The 16,518-nt window shown below is 46.5% G+C and overlaps 1 annotated feature.

Annotated features, from left to right (window-relative positions):
* Nucleotides 264-429: a silencer, noted in NCBI's record as "fragment chr19:32129182-32129347 (GRCh37/hg19 assembly coordinates)". NCBI's record gives its function as "represses an EF-1alpha promoter that drives an FKBP-Casp9 reporter gene in an ReSE screen in both phorbol 12-myristate 13-acetate-treated (for megakaryocytic differentiation) and untreated K562 erythroleukemia cells {active_cell/tissue: K562 | K562(+PMA)}" and the evidence as "EXISTENCE:reporter gene assay evidence [ECO:0000049][PMID:32094911]".

Below are 16,518 nucleotides of genomic sequence, written 5' to 3'. Positions count from 1 at the left end.
CCTGCAAATATTCTTATCTTCTTGCTCGGGCTCAATCCCAGGGATAGCTGAGTACCAGGCCCTTCTTGGGGACCCACCAGCACCTAAGCTTTTTATTTCCTTTTCCTCTTCTTCCCTCCACTGCATTCGTTTAGTCTCTGGAGGAGGAAACCTTGCACTGATCAATCATATTGTTCTCTACTCCTCCAGGCTTGGGCTTGAGACGTGAAAGCTCCTAAGAGAGTTATTTTTCTCTTTTCTGTTAGCCCACCTCTTCTTTGAGGCAATGAGCCTCTGGTGGCTTGAATGGGAGGGACTCACAGAGTAACAAGAAATGCAGGATGGCAGAAACAATAGTTACAGGGTCAAAAATGGGCGTGATTGGGTTGCTAGGGGCTGGGGACCAGGAGAGAATGCAGAGGTGTTGTTTAATCAGTATTGAGTTTCAGTTTTGCAAGATGAAGAGCGTTCTGGAGGTTGGCTGCACAACATGAATTCACTTACCACTACTGAGCTGCAAGCTGAAAAATGGTTAAGATGGTAAACTTTACGTTATGTGTATTTTACCACATTGAGAATAAAATGGAACCACCAGCAGCAGTACTCGCAGCGCTTACTTATTTTGAACACCTCCCATGTGCCAGATCTTGTATTAAACACTTTACAGGCACCATCTAACTTAATCTCTTGACAACTTTGCTATGCTATGGAGCCATTTCTGCCCTCACTTTACAGATGAGGAAATTGAAGCTTATTATTATGATGATGATTATTTTTTGAAACAGGGTCTCACTCTTGGGTCGCCCAAGCTGGAGTGCAGTGGTGAGATGACTGCTTGCTGCTGCCTCAACTTCCTGGGCTCAAGAAATCCTCCCACCTTAGCCTTGCAAGTAGCTGGGACTGCAGGCCACCATTCCTGGCTAATGTTTTAAGTTTGATTTTTCTTTTGTAGAGATGGGGTGTTGCTATGTTGACCAGGCTGGTTTCGAACTCCTGGCCTCAAGTGATCTTCCCACCTCAGCTTCCCAAGGTGCTGGGATTATAGGTGTGAGTCACTGCACCCAGCCAAAATTGAAGCTTAGATCTAGAAGCTAACTTTTCCAATGTCTCAGAGCCAGGATTTGAACCCAGGTCTAAGTGTAACACAACCAAGATTCTTGGCTTGGTCCATGCATAACCAACTCAACAGACTAGCTCAACTTAACCAACATAACAGATACACTCTGTTCCTTCTGTAAAATCGCAACTGATATTTAGGGCTCCCATAAGTATTCCAAACTCTAGAATGTCTGCACACTTCTGTTCCCACCAGTCACACGTTGTATGTTTACCAAGAATCAGAATCTGTCAACTGTACTTGTTATTGTAAGTATGTCATATAAGAAAATATTGGCCGGGCACAGTGGCTCACGCCTGTAATCCCAGCACTTTGGGAGGCTGAGGTGGGTGGATCACGAGGTCAGGAGTTTGAGACCAGCCTGGCCAACATAGTGAAACCCTGTCTCTACTAAAAATACAAAAATTTAGCTGGACTTGGTGGCAGGCGCCTGTAATCCCAGCTACTTGGGAAGCTGAGGCAGGAGAATCGCTTGAACCCAGGAGGCGGAGGTTGCAGTGAGCCGAGATCACGCCATTGCACTCCAGCCCTGCTGACAGTGTGAGACTCTGTCTCAAAAAAGAACAACAACAACAACAACAAATATATATATATATAATATATATATAATATATATATAATATATATATAATATATATATATTATATATATAATATATATATATAATATATATATTATATATATAATATATATATATTATATATATATGCTGCTCAGATGTGATAAGAGTGTAAAGGACGTAGTGGTGTCTATGAGAACTAGATGTGGTGCTTTGTAAAGATTCAATGCAGACTGGTAGAAAATTAGGTGTGAGAAGCAAATGTAAGAGATAGAGACTGGCCCCAAAAATCTGGAGGAATTTCACACTTATTTTGCCTTGTGAGGATCTTTTTTATCCCCTTTGAAGATACTGTAATAATTTTGTAGGTTATGTATTATGGTTGTGGTTTATATAAGAAAGAGTGCCTGAAACACCAATCAGCAGACCCATAAGCCTAGAAGAAGACTTGGCTTTGCAATAAGAGGACAGGCAAATAGGCCAGGCATGGTGCCACATGCCTGTCATCCCAGAACTTTTGGATGCCCAGGCAAAAGGAATGCTTGAGGCCAGGAGTTCAAAACAGCCTGGGTAACAGAGCAAGACCCCTGACTCTACAATTATTATTATTTTTTAATTAACCATGCATGGTGGCATATGCTTGTATTCCCAGCTACTAAGGAGGCTGAGGCAGGGGGATTGCGTGAACCCAGGAATTTGAGGCTGCAGTGAGCTATGATCACACCATTGTACTCCGGCCTGGGCAACGGAGCAACAGAGTGAGACCCTGTTTCAAAAAAAAGAAAAAAGATAGGCAAATAAATGAATGCTTCTATGATTTAAATTATCACACAAAATAAAACTTTTAAAAGCATTTTACTTATAGAACCATGTCTTGTCCTAGCCTTTCTTAAAATCATTAATACAATCCCAAATGCATAAATACTGTTCTATCAGCAATAACAAAAACATCACACAAATGACAACAATAAAAACCAGTCCTGATTACGAAATAAAACTGTCCCTATTCTGATTGAGCTAACAAGCCGGGCAGTAGAGAACGTGGACGAGGAGGGTCCCTGAGACTGGGGTCACTAGGGAGACCTCCATAAAACTGGGAACAGAGTGGTGTCTGGAAGGCAGATTCAGCTTTCAGAGGAAGGGCAGAGAAAGGAACGAGCGAGGTGTGTTTGATGCAGATGGGGCAAGCTGGCTGAGGGCATTGCGAATGGGACTGCAATTAAGATCAGAAGTAAAGAGCCACAAGGAAGATGAAGATAGAGATGACACTGAAAAGTTGTCTCCTTGTTTGCTTTTAAGGAAATGGCAGGTGGAGGAGCTGCTTCTGCCAGCTGGATCTGCAATTCGGACAGCACGAAGAGCATGGAAACGGGGCCATTACCCAGTTTGCTAAATTAAAGAAGGCAACCAGTCTCGGCAGGCCATCAGCTCCACACAGTCACTGCCCTACTGTACATGCCAACGACCCATCTGAGGGATCAGCTTCCCTTTGCTCCCCAAACGAGAGCCTCTGCTCTTGGGCACCTCAGAGATGCGTGTGTGTGTGTGTGTGTGTGTGTGTGTGTGTGTGTGTGCGCGTGTGTGTGCATGCAGACTATTTGGAAATTCGCTTTTAGATGGATTAATGCTCGGTAAAGCTCTCATGTTTCTCCAAAGTATATCCAGTGAGTAACAGTAGTATTTTCAATCAATAGTATTGCTTGCTAAAATAACAGATCTACAATAAAGCCTTCTAGAAATGAAGTCTTACGTTCCTCTGGCCCTGTATCCAAACCAAAAAGGACCACATAGGATGTCCCTGGTGTCGACATTTTCCTACAGGATCTTTGTAAGGCTTGTCTGTTTATCGTTCTCCATAGAGGGAAAACACAGGTGAAATATTCCTTTGTGCTAAAGGCAGACTAACCGTAAAATGATTATCCATGACAAGCTTACAAAGCCCAGGAGGGCTGAGGGAGCCGATGCATCGATCCCAGCAGGGTGGTGGGAAGGGCTGTTTGGGGAAGGGGCCACTCCTAGAGACCCAGGCTGCCAGAGACCCAGAAATAAGAGCAGCCCTCCTTCCAAGGACGCTGCCAGAAACCAGCTGATGTGAACAAGCCAGGAGCTTGAGGAAATGCAACAGAATCTGCAACGTTTCTAATGAAAACTGGATTTTCTTATCTTCTCTTCCATAGAGAGTTCCTGATTAGTGGTTCAGAGCTCGGAGGAATTAACCATATATCACTTTAAATGTTTATTTTATGTCCAGCTTATTCTAACATTTTTATTCATCTTAATGAGAAGTAATTGGGCTTCCTATTGCAGTGTTTCATTTAAAAAAGGGGAATATTAATAAAGGATGAAAGCATGCTAAAACCCATAACTATCTTCCACACTGTTACTAAGCTTCTATCTACCCCAGAAGTCACTCTTTTAGATTGAAAATAGTATTCAATGCATTTGAACCACATCCTTCCTGAGCCTGGCAATGCTTTTATTGTATGTCATTATGTCTTCTGGGAATCCTGACATTAAAACATATCCTTGGTTCTCACTTAAGCCAATTTTATAGGGCAGAGAAAGAAAAGACAACATTTTGCAATGAAAGCACCTTCTCCCATCTGGCAAAATGGCTTTCTGGACTCTATTGTGGCTCATTGTCTAAAAATAGGATGAAGACAAATTGTTATCATTTGCGAAAGCCCATGACAATAATGATAAATGAACAAATTTTTTTGCCCTCTGAAGTCATTGCTTAAGGCTTTCTCTGGGATCAACAATGTTAAACTGGTAAACTTGCCTCATCTGCATCTGCAGAGGGTTTACAAATGGCTTTGTAAACAATTTTAGCCAGAGCGTTAATCTCCCCTACAGAACTAGGGCTTCGAGATGTATGATTGATTTGCAATTTAAAATGACACTGAAACCCCTGAAACAGATATGAAAGAAACTTTCAGTGAATAATGTTTTAGTTGACAAGAAAAGATGAGGCACATCTTTCATCTGATAGTGGGCTGTTTTTGATAAATATTGTTCATAATGGAGAATTTTGGAATCATTAATGTGTGGATAGAACATTACTACTTTTTTGACTGGGACTTCAGAAACCAGTTTCTTTTGGCAGGCATTTTTGTTGCGTGAAAGAAACTTGGGGGAGACACTTTGAAAGGCACGCATAAAATGATTCTATTCTTTGACCTGAGCTCAAATGACAAGGTGAAACTGCAGAGTGATGGCATCTCAACACCACACGGCAGCCCACCATTCTCCGAGACAAGGGCAGGGCATTATTGCTTTTGAATTCTGTTTTGGTGGAGTGACAGGTCCAGTAAGATGGGGCATGCCATGGAAGTAAATATTTAATTTCATGGTCTTTCGCTTCTTTATTCAGATGGCACCCCAGGTGCTCTGACTACAAACTCACTCCCAGACCGGTCTTGTGGTGCCAGACATGGGGACACTTGCATCACATTGTCCCCTAGGGATTAGAGGAGCTGTGCTGACCAGTACATGTTGGCCATCAGAGGCTAGACCCTTGAGAGGGCCTGTCTCCCCTGCCAGGTCAGCAGCCCTATTCAAAGTTAGACTTCTTTTCCCAGGTCCCTGTCTTGCCCCCGACATGGCTAGCTCCTCCCCAGCTCCATCTTCTCTCCCTCCCGTCTCACAGCAATGACACAACCTTAAAGAGTGTGACTGTAGAGCATTGGCACACCCTGTATTCTGATGCTTAGGCAAGACCTAAGTGTTCCAAGGCCTGACGCCCACATTCCCTGCATGCTCATCCAGTGCCGTCTACCACCCGATTCCGTGAGCCATGGCCTACGGTCCTATGGGCCACGGTGGGACGTCCCTTCATCAGCTTCTGCTGTGATGCATAGACAGCCCCTTCCTCCCAGCAAGGCCTAGGCCATGGCTTAGTCTCATAGAGCACTGCACATGTCTGGGCTTCCAAATGTGTTATGAGGAAAATAATCATGATTCTGGCCCAAAGGGTATGAGATAGCAATCCAAACTGTTTATTCCAGGATTCTTGTGCCTGTTGGAGACATCTGGATCCAAGCCTTTCAGTGTGAAGCAGTGAACTGTGCTTAGCATCATTAAAACCATTCCACTGTATTTAGTTTTATTTAGCATCCTGTTAATAGGCAGGCAGACTAGACCTACTATGCGCCAGGAGCTGTTGGGGGTGCTGAAAATACAGAGGTGAATCAAGCAGACGTAGTCTCCTGTCTGTGCAGGGCTGCCTTTCTGTCAACAGTAACTTTGTTGATGATCGTAGCCCGGGTGCCGCACCGTAGAACACTTATGGAAAACCTGCAGCCATCCATGCACTGTGGACCACTTTTCTCCTGCTTTGAAATCTTCCATGGCTTCCCAGTCCGGGTGCGGTGGCTCATGCCTGTAATCCCAGCACTTTGGGAGGCTGAGGCAGGCGGATCACTTGAGGTTACGAGTTCGAGACCAGCCTGGCCTACATGGCGAAACTCCGTCTCTACTAAAAATACAAAAATTATCTGGGTTTGGTGGTGGGCACCTGTAGTCCCAGCTACTTGGGAGGCTGAGGCAGGAGAATCTCTCAAACCTGGGAGGTGGAGGTTGCAGTGAGCCGAGATTGCTCCACTGCACTCCAGCCTGGGAGACAGAGCAAGACTGTCTCAAAAAACAAACAAACAAACAAAATATATTTACAACGTTTTAATTACATTCTCAAAGTTCTCTCTCCTTGGCTCCTGTCTGCCCCACTTAGTTTTATATCCAATATGAAAACTATGCTGGTCATCAGGGTTCCCTAGTGCTTGCTCCCAAACTGAGCTTTACATCTACTTACCGAAGTGTGGCTGGCTGCCGCATTAGCACCAGCTGGCTTTGGGGTAATCATCTCCCCTCCCCTCCCAGCTCTGAGGCTGTGCAGGGAATCAACTTTCCTCCTCTGAAGATGTCAGTCTGACCCTGAGTCCAGCAAAGAACCCATGGCCCCACTGTGATCTGATCCCTGCTCTCACCTAGGATGAAGCAGAAATCCCTAGGGGCATGACACTTCTCTGACCAGTTCTCATGGGATTCCGGCAGGTCCAGCCTGGTACATGCCCCTGGGCCACCACCCAGACACTTTCTCCACCCAGGGTGGCCCTCGGCATGGGCTCTGCCCAGGGGAGCATGGACTGCTTGTGAGTGTGGAGATAAGGCCGTGGCCCTGGCTGGCTCAGAATGTTGCAGGTTCATTTGTGAGGTCTTCTGCCCGGGAAGGAAGTGGCAGCAGATATAGCTTTTTCCTCCCCTCATCCTCTCCCTGCATTGGTTTTCCTCCCATGTCTCCCTTCCCACTCCTTTCTCTTCTCCTCCCTTGGTCTGGGAAGCAAGCACACTCCCCTGGGCAGGGATGATGGTGAAGGCCATCCTGGGGAGGGATGGTGTCTGGGCGGTGGCCCATGAGGCATGTACCAGGGTTGACTGCCGGGGTCCCATGAGCTTTGTTCATGCTCCAAGAAGGAGACTGTGCCCAGAATGTCCAGGAACCCACAGAAGACCATTCCCTATGTCCCAGAGGACCAGTCAAGTTGCTGCTGGTGCCACTGAAGGGGGCCAGCGTGAGCTCCCTGTGAACCCCAAGAAAACCAGAGTCACAGCATGGAGCATGGATGGATCTGCCCGGAGAGTGGCTTCTGAGTGTTCCAGGGGCTGTGCCTTCACCAGGCCAACCTGTAGTTACCGGTGGCAGGATCTTGGGTTGGAGAAGTGCCTGGATACCACCCGGCTTTTTTGACCTGCCTCAACTGCGGAAGGCAAAGCCACTCCTGAGACCCTCTTAGATGCATCCTCTCATTTCTGAACAGTGAGAGAGGGTGTCTGATGCACTAAAAGCCCAGCTCGTCCTTACCATCTCTTTTAAATAATAAGCAACAGCTCCCCCACTTTAACAGTCTCACTTTAACACTAAGTGCACACTGTATAAATTGCTTTGATAACCATATTCATCCCCTACCTTATGTTTTGAAGTATTCCAACTTGCTTTAGTTTTATTAATGTATTTCTTTTATCTTTCATCTGAATAGTGTTCTCTATGTAAAGTGACCAAATGTGATTAATGATGAATAGATTAAGATAGGACAGGGTGTTTGAAAAATAACTTAAGGACTGCATGTAAGTCACTGGCTAGAGTCCCAAAATGCAAATTCTGGTTAAGTTAATGACTGGAAAATCATGATGGCCCAACTGCATGAGCCTTTGCGTTATTTAAAATTACTTTATAAACAATAAATAATTAGTGTTTTGTATTAGAATGAGTTAATTCTTTCTTAATGATTTCTATAGGCACCACTGTCCCAAAGTCAAAAAGTTTCCCTGTAATTGATGCGTAATTGATGCATAGGCACCCCTCCTGACTCCTGGCCATCCAGCCTGGGGAAGTTACTGCTTCACTTTGCAAATGGCACGGGAGTGTTCATGTCCCATTAGAGGTCGGCACTTTATTAAAACGTCTGGAATAATCGAGTTTCAAGAGGATTCGTTCCCTGAAAAGAGTCCGTGCCTTCTCCTGGATGGGTTTTTAGGAGGGAAATTGTTTTTATGCCTGTGCCCGCCTTTCCCTGACAAACGAGGCTTATCATCCGAGAGGCTCTGTGCTCTCACTCACCCTCTCAGGAGCTGGGGAGCTTTATGAAAAATAAATTAATAATGCATCCTAAATTACATCTGCAAGAGACATTTAGGTGTATATTGCAGTCTTCAAAGATGATTAGGTTTACGTTTTGTTCAAGGAGATGTGTCACCCATTCTTCCAGGCACTTCTAGACCCGTGGGTCTGACGGCAGGGCCACCGTGCACTGTCACTGTCCTGCATGGTCTCTGCATCCTTACGGCCCAGGCTACAAACAAGGTGCCAGATGCAGTGCTGAAGCCAGCTACCTGGAAAGCCTGAGGCCTAGGGTGACCCTATTCAAAGCGGAAGCCAGAGGCCTCTGCGGGCAGGGGGCCATCCACGTCATCTGCCAAGAAACCCCCTTGTCCATCAGCCTGCAGCTTGTGATGTAGATCTCCAAGCCTTGCTGCCCTGGGTACTTAACACAGAGGAAAAAAAAAAGGCACCCTTCAAAGTTGTTTCTGTGTTTTGTTCTGCTAAGCCACAAAGAAGAGAGAAATATAGTAGCATTGATTGTTAAATCCTTGTGCCCGCTCCACGGTGTCCGCACACGAAACACGCTGCTTTTGTAGCGGAAGGAGAGTCGGTATTTATCAGGGTTCAGAGCCAGTTCAGCCACACACTTGACAAATTATTTGTGGAATTGTTGTATTCATAGTCACTTAAATAAGAATCTGTCAACACGAAGGCTGAGCTTTGTTGCAGCGGGTCCCCTGGTTTTTCCTGCATACCCAGAGAATGATGGATTGGAAGTAATGCAAATTCACTACCATTTTATATGCTGGTGCCTCCCTCAGAGACAGGAAACATAGCTCAGGATCATCTTGTAAAAGGCCGTAACTGTGAAGGCCTGCTTCTGTGCGGAAAGTCTTGCTTTTCTTTTTCCTCCTTTCTCTTCTTCTCCCTGCAAATGGAACTTGAGAAGAGGGACATAGATTTGACTCTTTTCCTCATGCCTCATTTTGCAAAGTGCCCCTTGCAGCAGGCGTGCTTGCTGGCTTTTTAGGTGTACATATACCGTATGTATGCTTAGCCATGCCCAGAGTTAAAACAAATAGATAAATATAATTATTTGGTTTTATGGCAACTTAAAAGTTAATACCCCTTAGCAGGATGTTAAGTCTTAACTCTTGAGTAGAAGGCAGAAAAAGCTAGGGCCATCAGGGGCAGTGGCCTGTGCTTTAGTGGGTTCCCCTGAGCCCCTTGGGGATGGGGACTTGGGAGGGCTGGGATTTTCACTCTGCTCTGTGCAGAACCCAGCACCGGACTCTCCCTGCCCCACTGTAAAATGGGGAGAAAAGAATACTCCCTTTTAGGCCTGCCTTCCCAGGATTCTAAATCTTGAAGGAGCATTGTCAACTCTTAGGGTTCCAGGTTTGGGGTGGCTATTTTAGGTCTGGCAGGAGGCTCTTGGGGCAGAACCATCAGGTGTCTCTTTGTGGCCTGGACAAGAGATCTTCCCCCAATGTGGCAGAGCACTGGGAACAGACGTGCCCCACAGAACTCTCCCTAGAGTGGGGTTTCTTCATTAAGGCCACTGGACCCTTCTGGTTCTTGCTATCTGCTGACCCAAGATAGCAGTCTGGGAGTCAGGAGGCCAGGGAGTCCAGCCTTGCTTCTGGTTCTTGGTTCCTGGTTCTGGTTCCCGGCTCTTGGTTCTGGTTCCCAAGAGCTTGAGTGCCTCCCTCCACCTCTCTGAGCCTTATAGAATCAGGAGCTGGCCCAGGCACCTTTAGAGGCCTTTGAAAATGTAAATCCTCTCACCCCATTGATAACAAACTCTAACCCAGGGACAGCAACTAGAGACTGACTCTTACAAAGAAGCCCAGAAAGGAACAAGGCTCTTTCCCCGCTATGTTACTTCCAATGGAAGCTTTGCAAAGGAATCCGGTTGCCTAAAAACGTATTCTTTTAAGCCCCAGGGATTTGCATGGTGTGAGACTGCCTCCATGGCCCCCATTTTTACAAACTGCCAGAGAGCAATAAGAAAAAAAGAGAAAACCCCAATGCAAAAACAAAATCCCACGTTGTATAACACGTCCCCTCAATACCACTGAAAAATGTACGTAATATTTTGAAATCACTGACTAATTATTTCTAATCATCCCATAATAATTTATGGAGACACTTGCTCCTTTGGACGTGTTCCTGTTTTGATCTAAATGTATTCCCGAACACACTGTCAAACCTCCCCGTTTGGCAACTGATGTGGTTTTGCTGAATTTCTTTCGTGTGTCCAGATCTCTTGCCAATGAGGCTGTGGAACATATTTTGACAGCTTTGTCGCTAAGTTTGTTGCTACTTGTGTCTGGAACGGGTATCAAATTTCAGAGATGAATCTGTTTGTTTCCTCCCTGTTCACGCTGTTTGGGAATGCCATTGGTTTGCCTGGAGCCGCTCCCGTCGGCCGGCGAGGAGGGGTCATTCTTTGTTTGCATTGCTACTCAGTCAGCTTTTGGTGACCCATTGTACGGGGCATCTCAGGAACACCTGTGCCCTGCACTCAGACGTCTGGTGTCTGCAGCCTGGGCCTGAGTGTGGCTATTCCCATATGCGTGTGTCCATAGGAAGCCAGGATTTCCTCTACAAGAGGCCGGGATGCACTTGAACACGGACGTTGGACCGGGTGTGGCCGCCCCTTAAATGCTCTTGTTCAGATTGCTGGCTTTACAGTAAGGTTTGCAACATTACACCCTCGAGAGGGAACAGAAGCCTGTTTTCATTTCTCTTCCTGCATTTCATCCTAGTCTTACTGGACACTACTGTTCTTTGCTAGAATTTTCTAAAAGAAATGTTTCTCGAAATGTGGCTCCTGGGTCTGTAATATCACAATCACCTGGAAACTTACTAGAAATGCACATTTCCAGACTCCTCTTTCCCTGTTCCTTTCACAGACCCACTGACTCAGAAACTCTGGGGTGGGGTCCAGGACTCTGTGCTTTAATTAAAGTCCACTGGGCGATCATGATGCTCCCCAATGGTTGAAATCATCCATCTACATGGTCATGTTGTCTCTCCAAGAGTGAAGAGTTTTCTCTGATGGGGATTCCTGCAGCCCATGTAAATTGTGCCTTTTGTGTCTTTGTTCACTGATATCTTTATTGGATCAGCTCATTAACACAAAGAGGCATTGATGGCGGTCACTGACATTTATGTGTAAGCCATGGGGCTGGCCAATGGAGAGCCCAGAGTGGGCAAAATGCCCCCTGTACCTCAAGGAACTGGCAGTTTAATGAAGCAGAGAGCGAGAGTGCCTGGCCATGACAGACCTGTTGGATAAGTGCGAGGAAACACAGGGACACAACAGACAGGCATCTTGGTTAGGCTGATAGGATCAGGTAAGAGGAGGTAAGGTCTGCACAGAGAGCTCCAGATGGGTTGCAACAGAGGAGGGGGCATTCAGCGTAGCAAGGTCAGCCTGTGCAATGGCCCAAGACATGAAGCAACACGGAGCAGATTCAGGGGACATTAGAGCAGCTCAGTAGAGCTGACCAGCAGTGAAGAGAGGCACTGATGGAGAGGGAGGGAGGGGCTACATCCTGAGGCCCATTGAAGATTTTAAGCAGGAAAAGAGACTGATGCCTAAGGACCTACTGTGGTGGCTACAGGATGGAGGATGACCTGGAAGGAGCGCAGCTGGGGGCAAGGAGACTGCTGAGAGGTTGCAGTGATCCATTCATTTAATCAGCAAATCTGCACTAAGCTCCCATGGAGGCATCACAGCCTAAGAATTAAGAAACCAGACTCTGGGGTCAGATGGAGCTGACCTATTTCCAGTTCTGGTGCTGGGACTTACTAGCTGTGGGACCTCAGGCAAGGTTCCTCTGAGGCTCATTCTTCTCAGTTGTGAATAATGGTAATAATAATACTCACTCTAGAGAATTGTTATGCGAGTTATACACATAAGACGTTTATACAATGCCTGTCCATAAGTTTCTAATGTAAGGGACCGTACTATGATGGTTATTATTATTATTATTATTATTGTTGCATTGTATCAGGCATTTTGTTGGGTGCTGAGGCCACAGTGGTGGAAAAGACAGATGCAGTCCCCTGTGTGCATGGCACAGGGCACTTGTGAGAGAGACGGCCGGATGGCCTGAGCTACATCCAGGACAGGGCAGAGGAAAGAAGACTAACTTAGTGAATGTTAGGGGTGTTATGAAGGGTGGTGCATGGGATGGTGCAGTGGTGCCAGATGAAGGAGGTGGAGGTGTCTCCCAGGTTTATAGTTTGAGTCTATATGGTTGAGCTCTTCCCTGGAACTGGGAATAAAGAGGAGAAGGAAGATGAGGAGGAGGAGAGAAGTGAAGGGGGAGGAGGAGGAGGAAGAGATGGATAAGAAGTAGAGTGGAGATGGGGAGGAAGGAGAGGAAGAGAAGGTGGAGAAGGAGGGGGAGGATGAGGAGGAAGGGGAAGAAGATGAGGGGGAGGAGAAAAGTGAAGGGGGAGGAGGAAGAGATAGAGAAGTGGAGTGGAGGCAGGGAGGAGGGAGAGGAAGAAAAGGTGGTGGAGGAGAGGGGGATGGAGGAGAGGGAGGAGGAAGAAGAAAAGGGGGATGGGGAGGAAGAGAAGAAAGAGGAGGAGGAGGAGAGAGATGGAGAAGAGGAGGTTGGGGAGGAAGAGGGGGATAAGGAAGAGAAAGAGGAGAGGGAAGAGGAGGAGGAGGGGGAGGAGGAAGAGGAAAAGGAGGAGGGGGAGGAAGAGAAGAAAGGGGAGGAGGAGGAGGCGAGGGATGGAGAAGGGGGAGGAAGAGAAAGAGAAACATGAGGGGGAGGGGGAGGAGGAGAGAGTGGAGGAGGAAGAGGAGGAGGCTGGGGTGGGAGGACTTGAGCTGTGTACTTTGTGCCTGTTCCTGTGGAATTTCAGGTGGAAATGTCTGTGAGAAGTCCCCTTCCCAGCATCGGAGCACCCTCCTCAGGCCTAGCCCGCTGGCCTGTTTGCAGTCCCCAGCAGGGCTCAGGCCTTTGCAGAGCTATGCACACTTCTGTACTGGCCCTGGGAATCACCAGCAGAGCATCCTCCATGTTCCCGGGCCTTGCATCCCTCTGCTGTCACTGCACTTGGCGGTGTATGTGCTGTCTTGTGCCTGAGATCTCTTCTCTGGCCCCAGGGATACCTCCTTATCAGCCCTGTCTTTTGTGCTCACCCCCTGAGGGGATCTCTGCTGCCTCTGTGCCTCACAGAACCCTGGAATGCCAGGGCCGCAGGAGAAGGGACCTGGAGGCATGTTCAAATCCCTTTTGCAACCTCTCAGATGACAACAGACTTGTTCAAACCCCCCAGTGATGGGAAACTCATCATTTTTACCTGAACAAGTAGTTCTGATTCTGAGAAAGTCCTTCTCTCATACTTACGCCAAACAGCCTCCTCACAGCTTCTGTCAGGTGGTCTAATTTTGCCTATCATGACTGCATGGGAGGAGGCTGATGACCCCGTGAACATCCTTCCAAGAAGGGCTGGGTAGGAATGAAGGAGCTGCAGGAGATCGTGCCAGGGACGTGGGGGAGGAGGTGCGCTTCTTCTCCCCCATGTTTTAAGCCCAGCTAAAGCCTTGGCTCTTTCAGGAACCATCTTTCATTGCTCCAAACTTTACCAGCCTCCCCCTCTCTAAGCTCCTTTATCATTGTATAAAACAATTTTGTACTTGACTTATTGCCAATACAGAGACTCATCTCCCTAAATAGATGATAAGTTCTTGAAGGACAGGGAAGGTGTCTCATATGAATTTTCTATCCATCAATGTGCCCAGGATAGTATTGCACTTTATCGAGGGATCAATAATTATTTGTTGATAGACTGTCATGTATTCTCATCCATGAATATTGGGGCAAGACTGGCATCAGTTTGAAGGGCATAGTTTAGAAATTTCAGTTAGGCACAGCCTCCTAAAGGATGGTGATAACAGGACTCACCTCAAAGGTGGTGGTGAGGATGAACAAGATAGATGGGCAGTGCCTGGCACAGGGCCTGGCCCACAGTAAGCCCTTCAAACTTATTAGCAGCTCTTATTACTATAAGGGAGTCTGAAGGGCCTCTTATTATTGTGAGGCAGTCAGGAGCAAGTGACCTGCAGGATTACAGGCTCATTGTCATCTGCACAAGCCAGAGGCATGCATGGCTGGACAACCTTCCTTGATCAATGGTTTCATAAATTTCCAGCCCAGCCATTGGCCTGAGAGATTTCTAGGACAGATGTACCTGTAGTCCCCAAAGGATGTGGAGACCTGAGAAAAACATTCTCTACTGAGAAGGATAAGGAACTATCAGAGACAATCAGGAAGGTAGTCTTAGAATTCAAGTCCAAAAGCATTGACTGCATACCTACTATGTTCCAGAGGATCTGATTGGAAAGGCTCCGCAAAGGTCTGTCGAGTCAAAATACCCATCCTAGTTTTTATCCCCATTGGAGAACTGCTCTAAGTGGAGACTTGGGGACCTAGGAGTCCAGGAGGCACTTCCCCATCACTGTGACCTTGAAGAGAGAGGATATTCATTACTTCATAGCCTAACAACCAGGATCATGGGAAAGGGGACACCGAAGGGATGTGTTTGATGAGGGTGGAGGAGGTTCTGCAGGGTAAAAAACTTAAAAGCTTGAATAGGGAACTGGAGAAGGAGGATGAGAGCCTCCAGCACAGGAGAGACGCTAGTGGAGGCATTTAAGCAAGTCTGGCATCCTCTATGGTGTTGCTATAGGTTTATATATCTCCTATTAAATCCGATTACACCCCAGCTAGGTGCACAGTCACCATGAGACAATCCAGCAGTAAAAAGGGTAAAGCCCTAAGCACTCAAAGCCCATCTACTGCAGAAGTCACAGATTTAGATACCTTCGGGACAGGCAGGTGACAGAAAACAAGGAAGGGAACAGAATGACAGACAATGGGGAGTAGAGAACACATTCTCACCCAAGGGGTGCTGCTTGGCTCAGTTACACACAGAAAGGGGTTTCACAGAGCCAGATATTCCTGATCTTCAAGAGAAACCTGGAAACCAGGGGTTTATGTGCAATCTCCAAGTTTTGAAAGGTTTATATACTTGTTTAAATCCTGGTGGGCCAAACAGAGCATATCCATGGAGTCAGATGCATCCTTCCTGCTGGCAGGGTGTGAAATCTGAGAAGAGGGAGGCAGATCTTCCAAGGAGATCTTACTTCACAGCAGGACAGTTGGACTCAGGACTCAAGACTCCATCTGACTCAGAAGCCCTAAGATAGGTGCCTTGAGTAGACAAGATCTAGGAGGCCATGGTGTGGCTTCCTTCTCTCATTCTCTCTCTAGGCAGCCTCTATTCTGATATTCAGCTAGATTGGGATGGGTGTAGGTGACAGGTTTCATTGCCAACCCCAGTCCCCAGGAAGTCACTGCAGCTTAAAATCATAAGTGGCGCAAGGCTCAGCTGAGGGTGGGTAGGCCAGGAGAGCAGGGATGGCTCGAGCCCAGGCCAGCAGCAGAGGGAGAGGTGATCTCTTGAAGCCCCTGCTGATGATCATGAAAACCAACATGGGTTTGGAGCCCCTTCTTTGAGGTGTGTTGCCCACTTGGGAGTCTTGTGATGGCCTTCCCTTCACCAGGACGGGGAGGCCACTTATGTGTTATATAAAATGAAATAATATCATTGGCTTCCCTCTGCTTTCCTGTTGATTGACTTTTATAGCTTGCAAACATTATGCTGTATTGGTAAATTGCAATAAATTTAATCAAGAATTATTTTATTCAGCCTACTAATGAGGAATAATAGCGTATGTATCAATCAGACCTGTCAATTTGTGTGAAGAAATAGATTTACAAAGGGAAAGTAAGCAAAAAAAAAAAAAAAATCATTGGTATCAATTCACTTCATTATTTTTAATTTGCTGTGAATATTGAGTGTTCCTAACATAAAATCATTCCTCAATTAAAATAAAACAGCTGCACTGCTCTCGGCTCCTCATCCCTTGTTTTTGCTTACAGATTAGCAGTTGTCATTGGTTTCAGTCTGTTGTCATCTCATTAATTTGCACCCATAAATGGGTAAAAAAAAGTATTCTCAACTGTCAGTGAAAAACGTAGCAGAGCAAAATGGTTTTCGCGTGTTTAGGGGAAACAGCAGGGTTACTGCAGCAAGGAAGGGGTGGAAGGTGTGAGGGTGGAGCCGCAAGAAACCCAGGCCCTGTGTGGCTTAGTTGGGACTCCTGGTAATTCTACAGGCCATCACCAGGGCCCTTTGCTGTATCTCTCCTGTGATTAATTATTTGAA

This window comes from Homo sapiens, chromosome 19 (genome assembly GCF_000001405.40).
Source record: "Homo sapiens chromosome 19, GRCh38.p14 Primary Assembly".
In the NCBI taxonomy this organism is placed as follows: Eukaryota; Metazoa; Chordata; class Mammalia; order Primates; family Hominidae; genus Homo; species Homo sapiens.
This window is presented reverse-complemented; position numbering and strand designations above follow the sequence as displayed.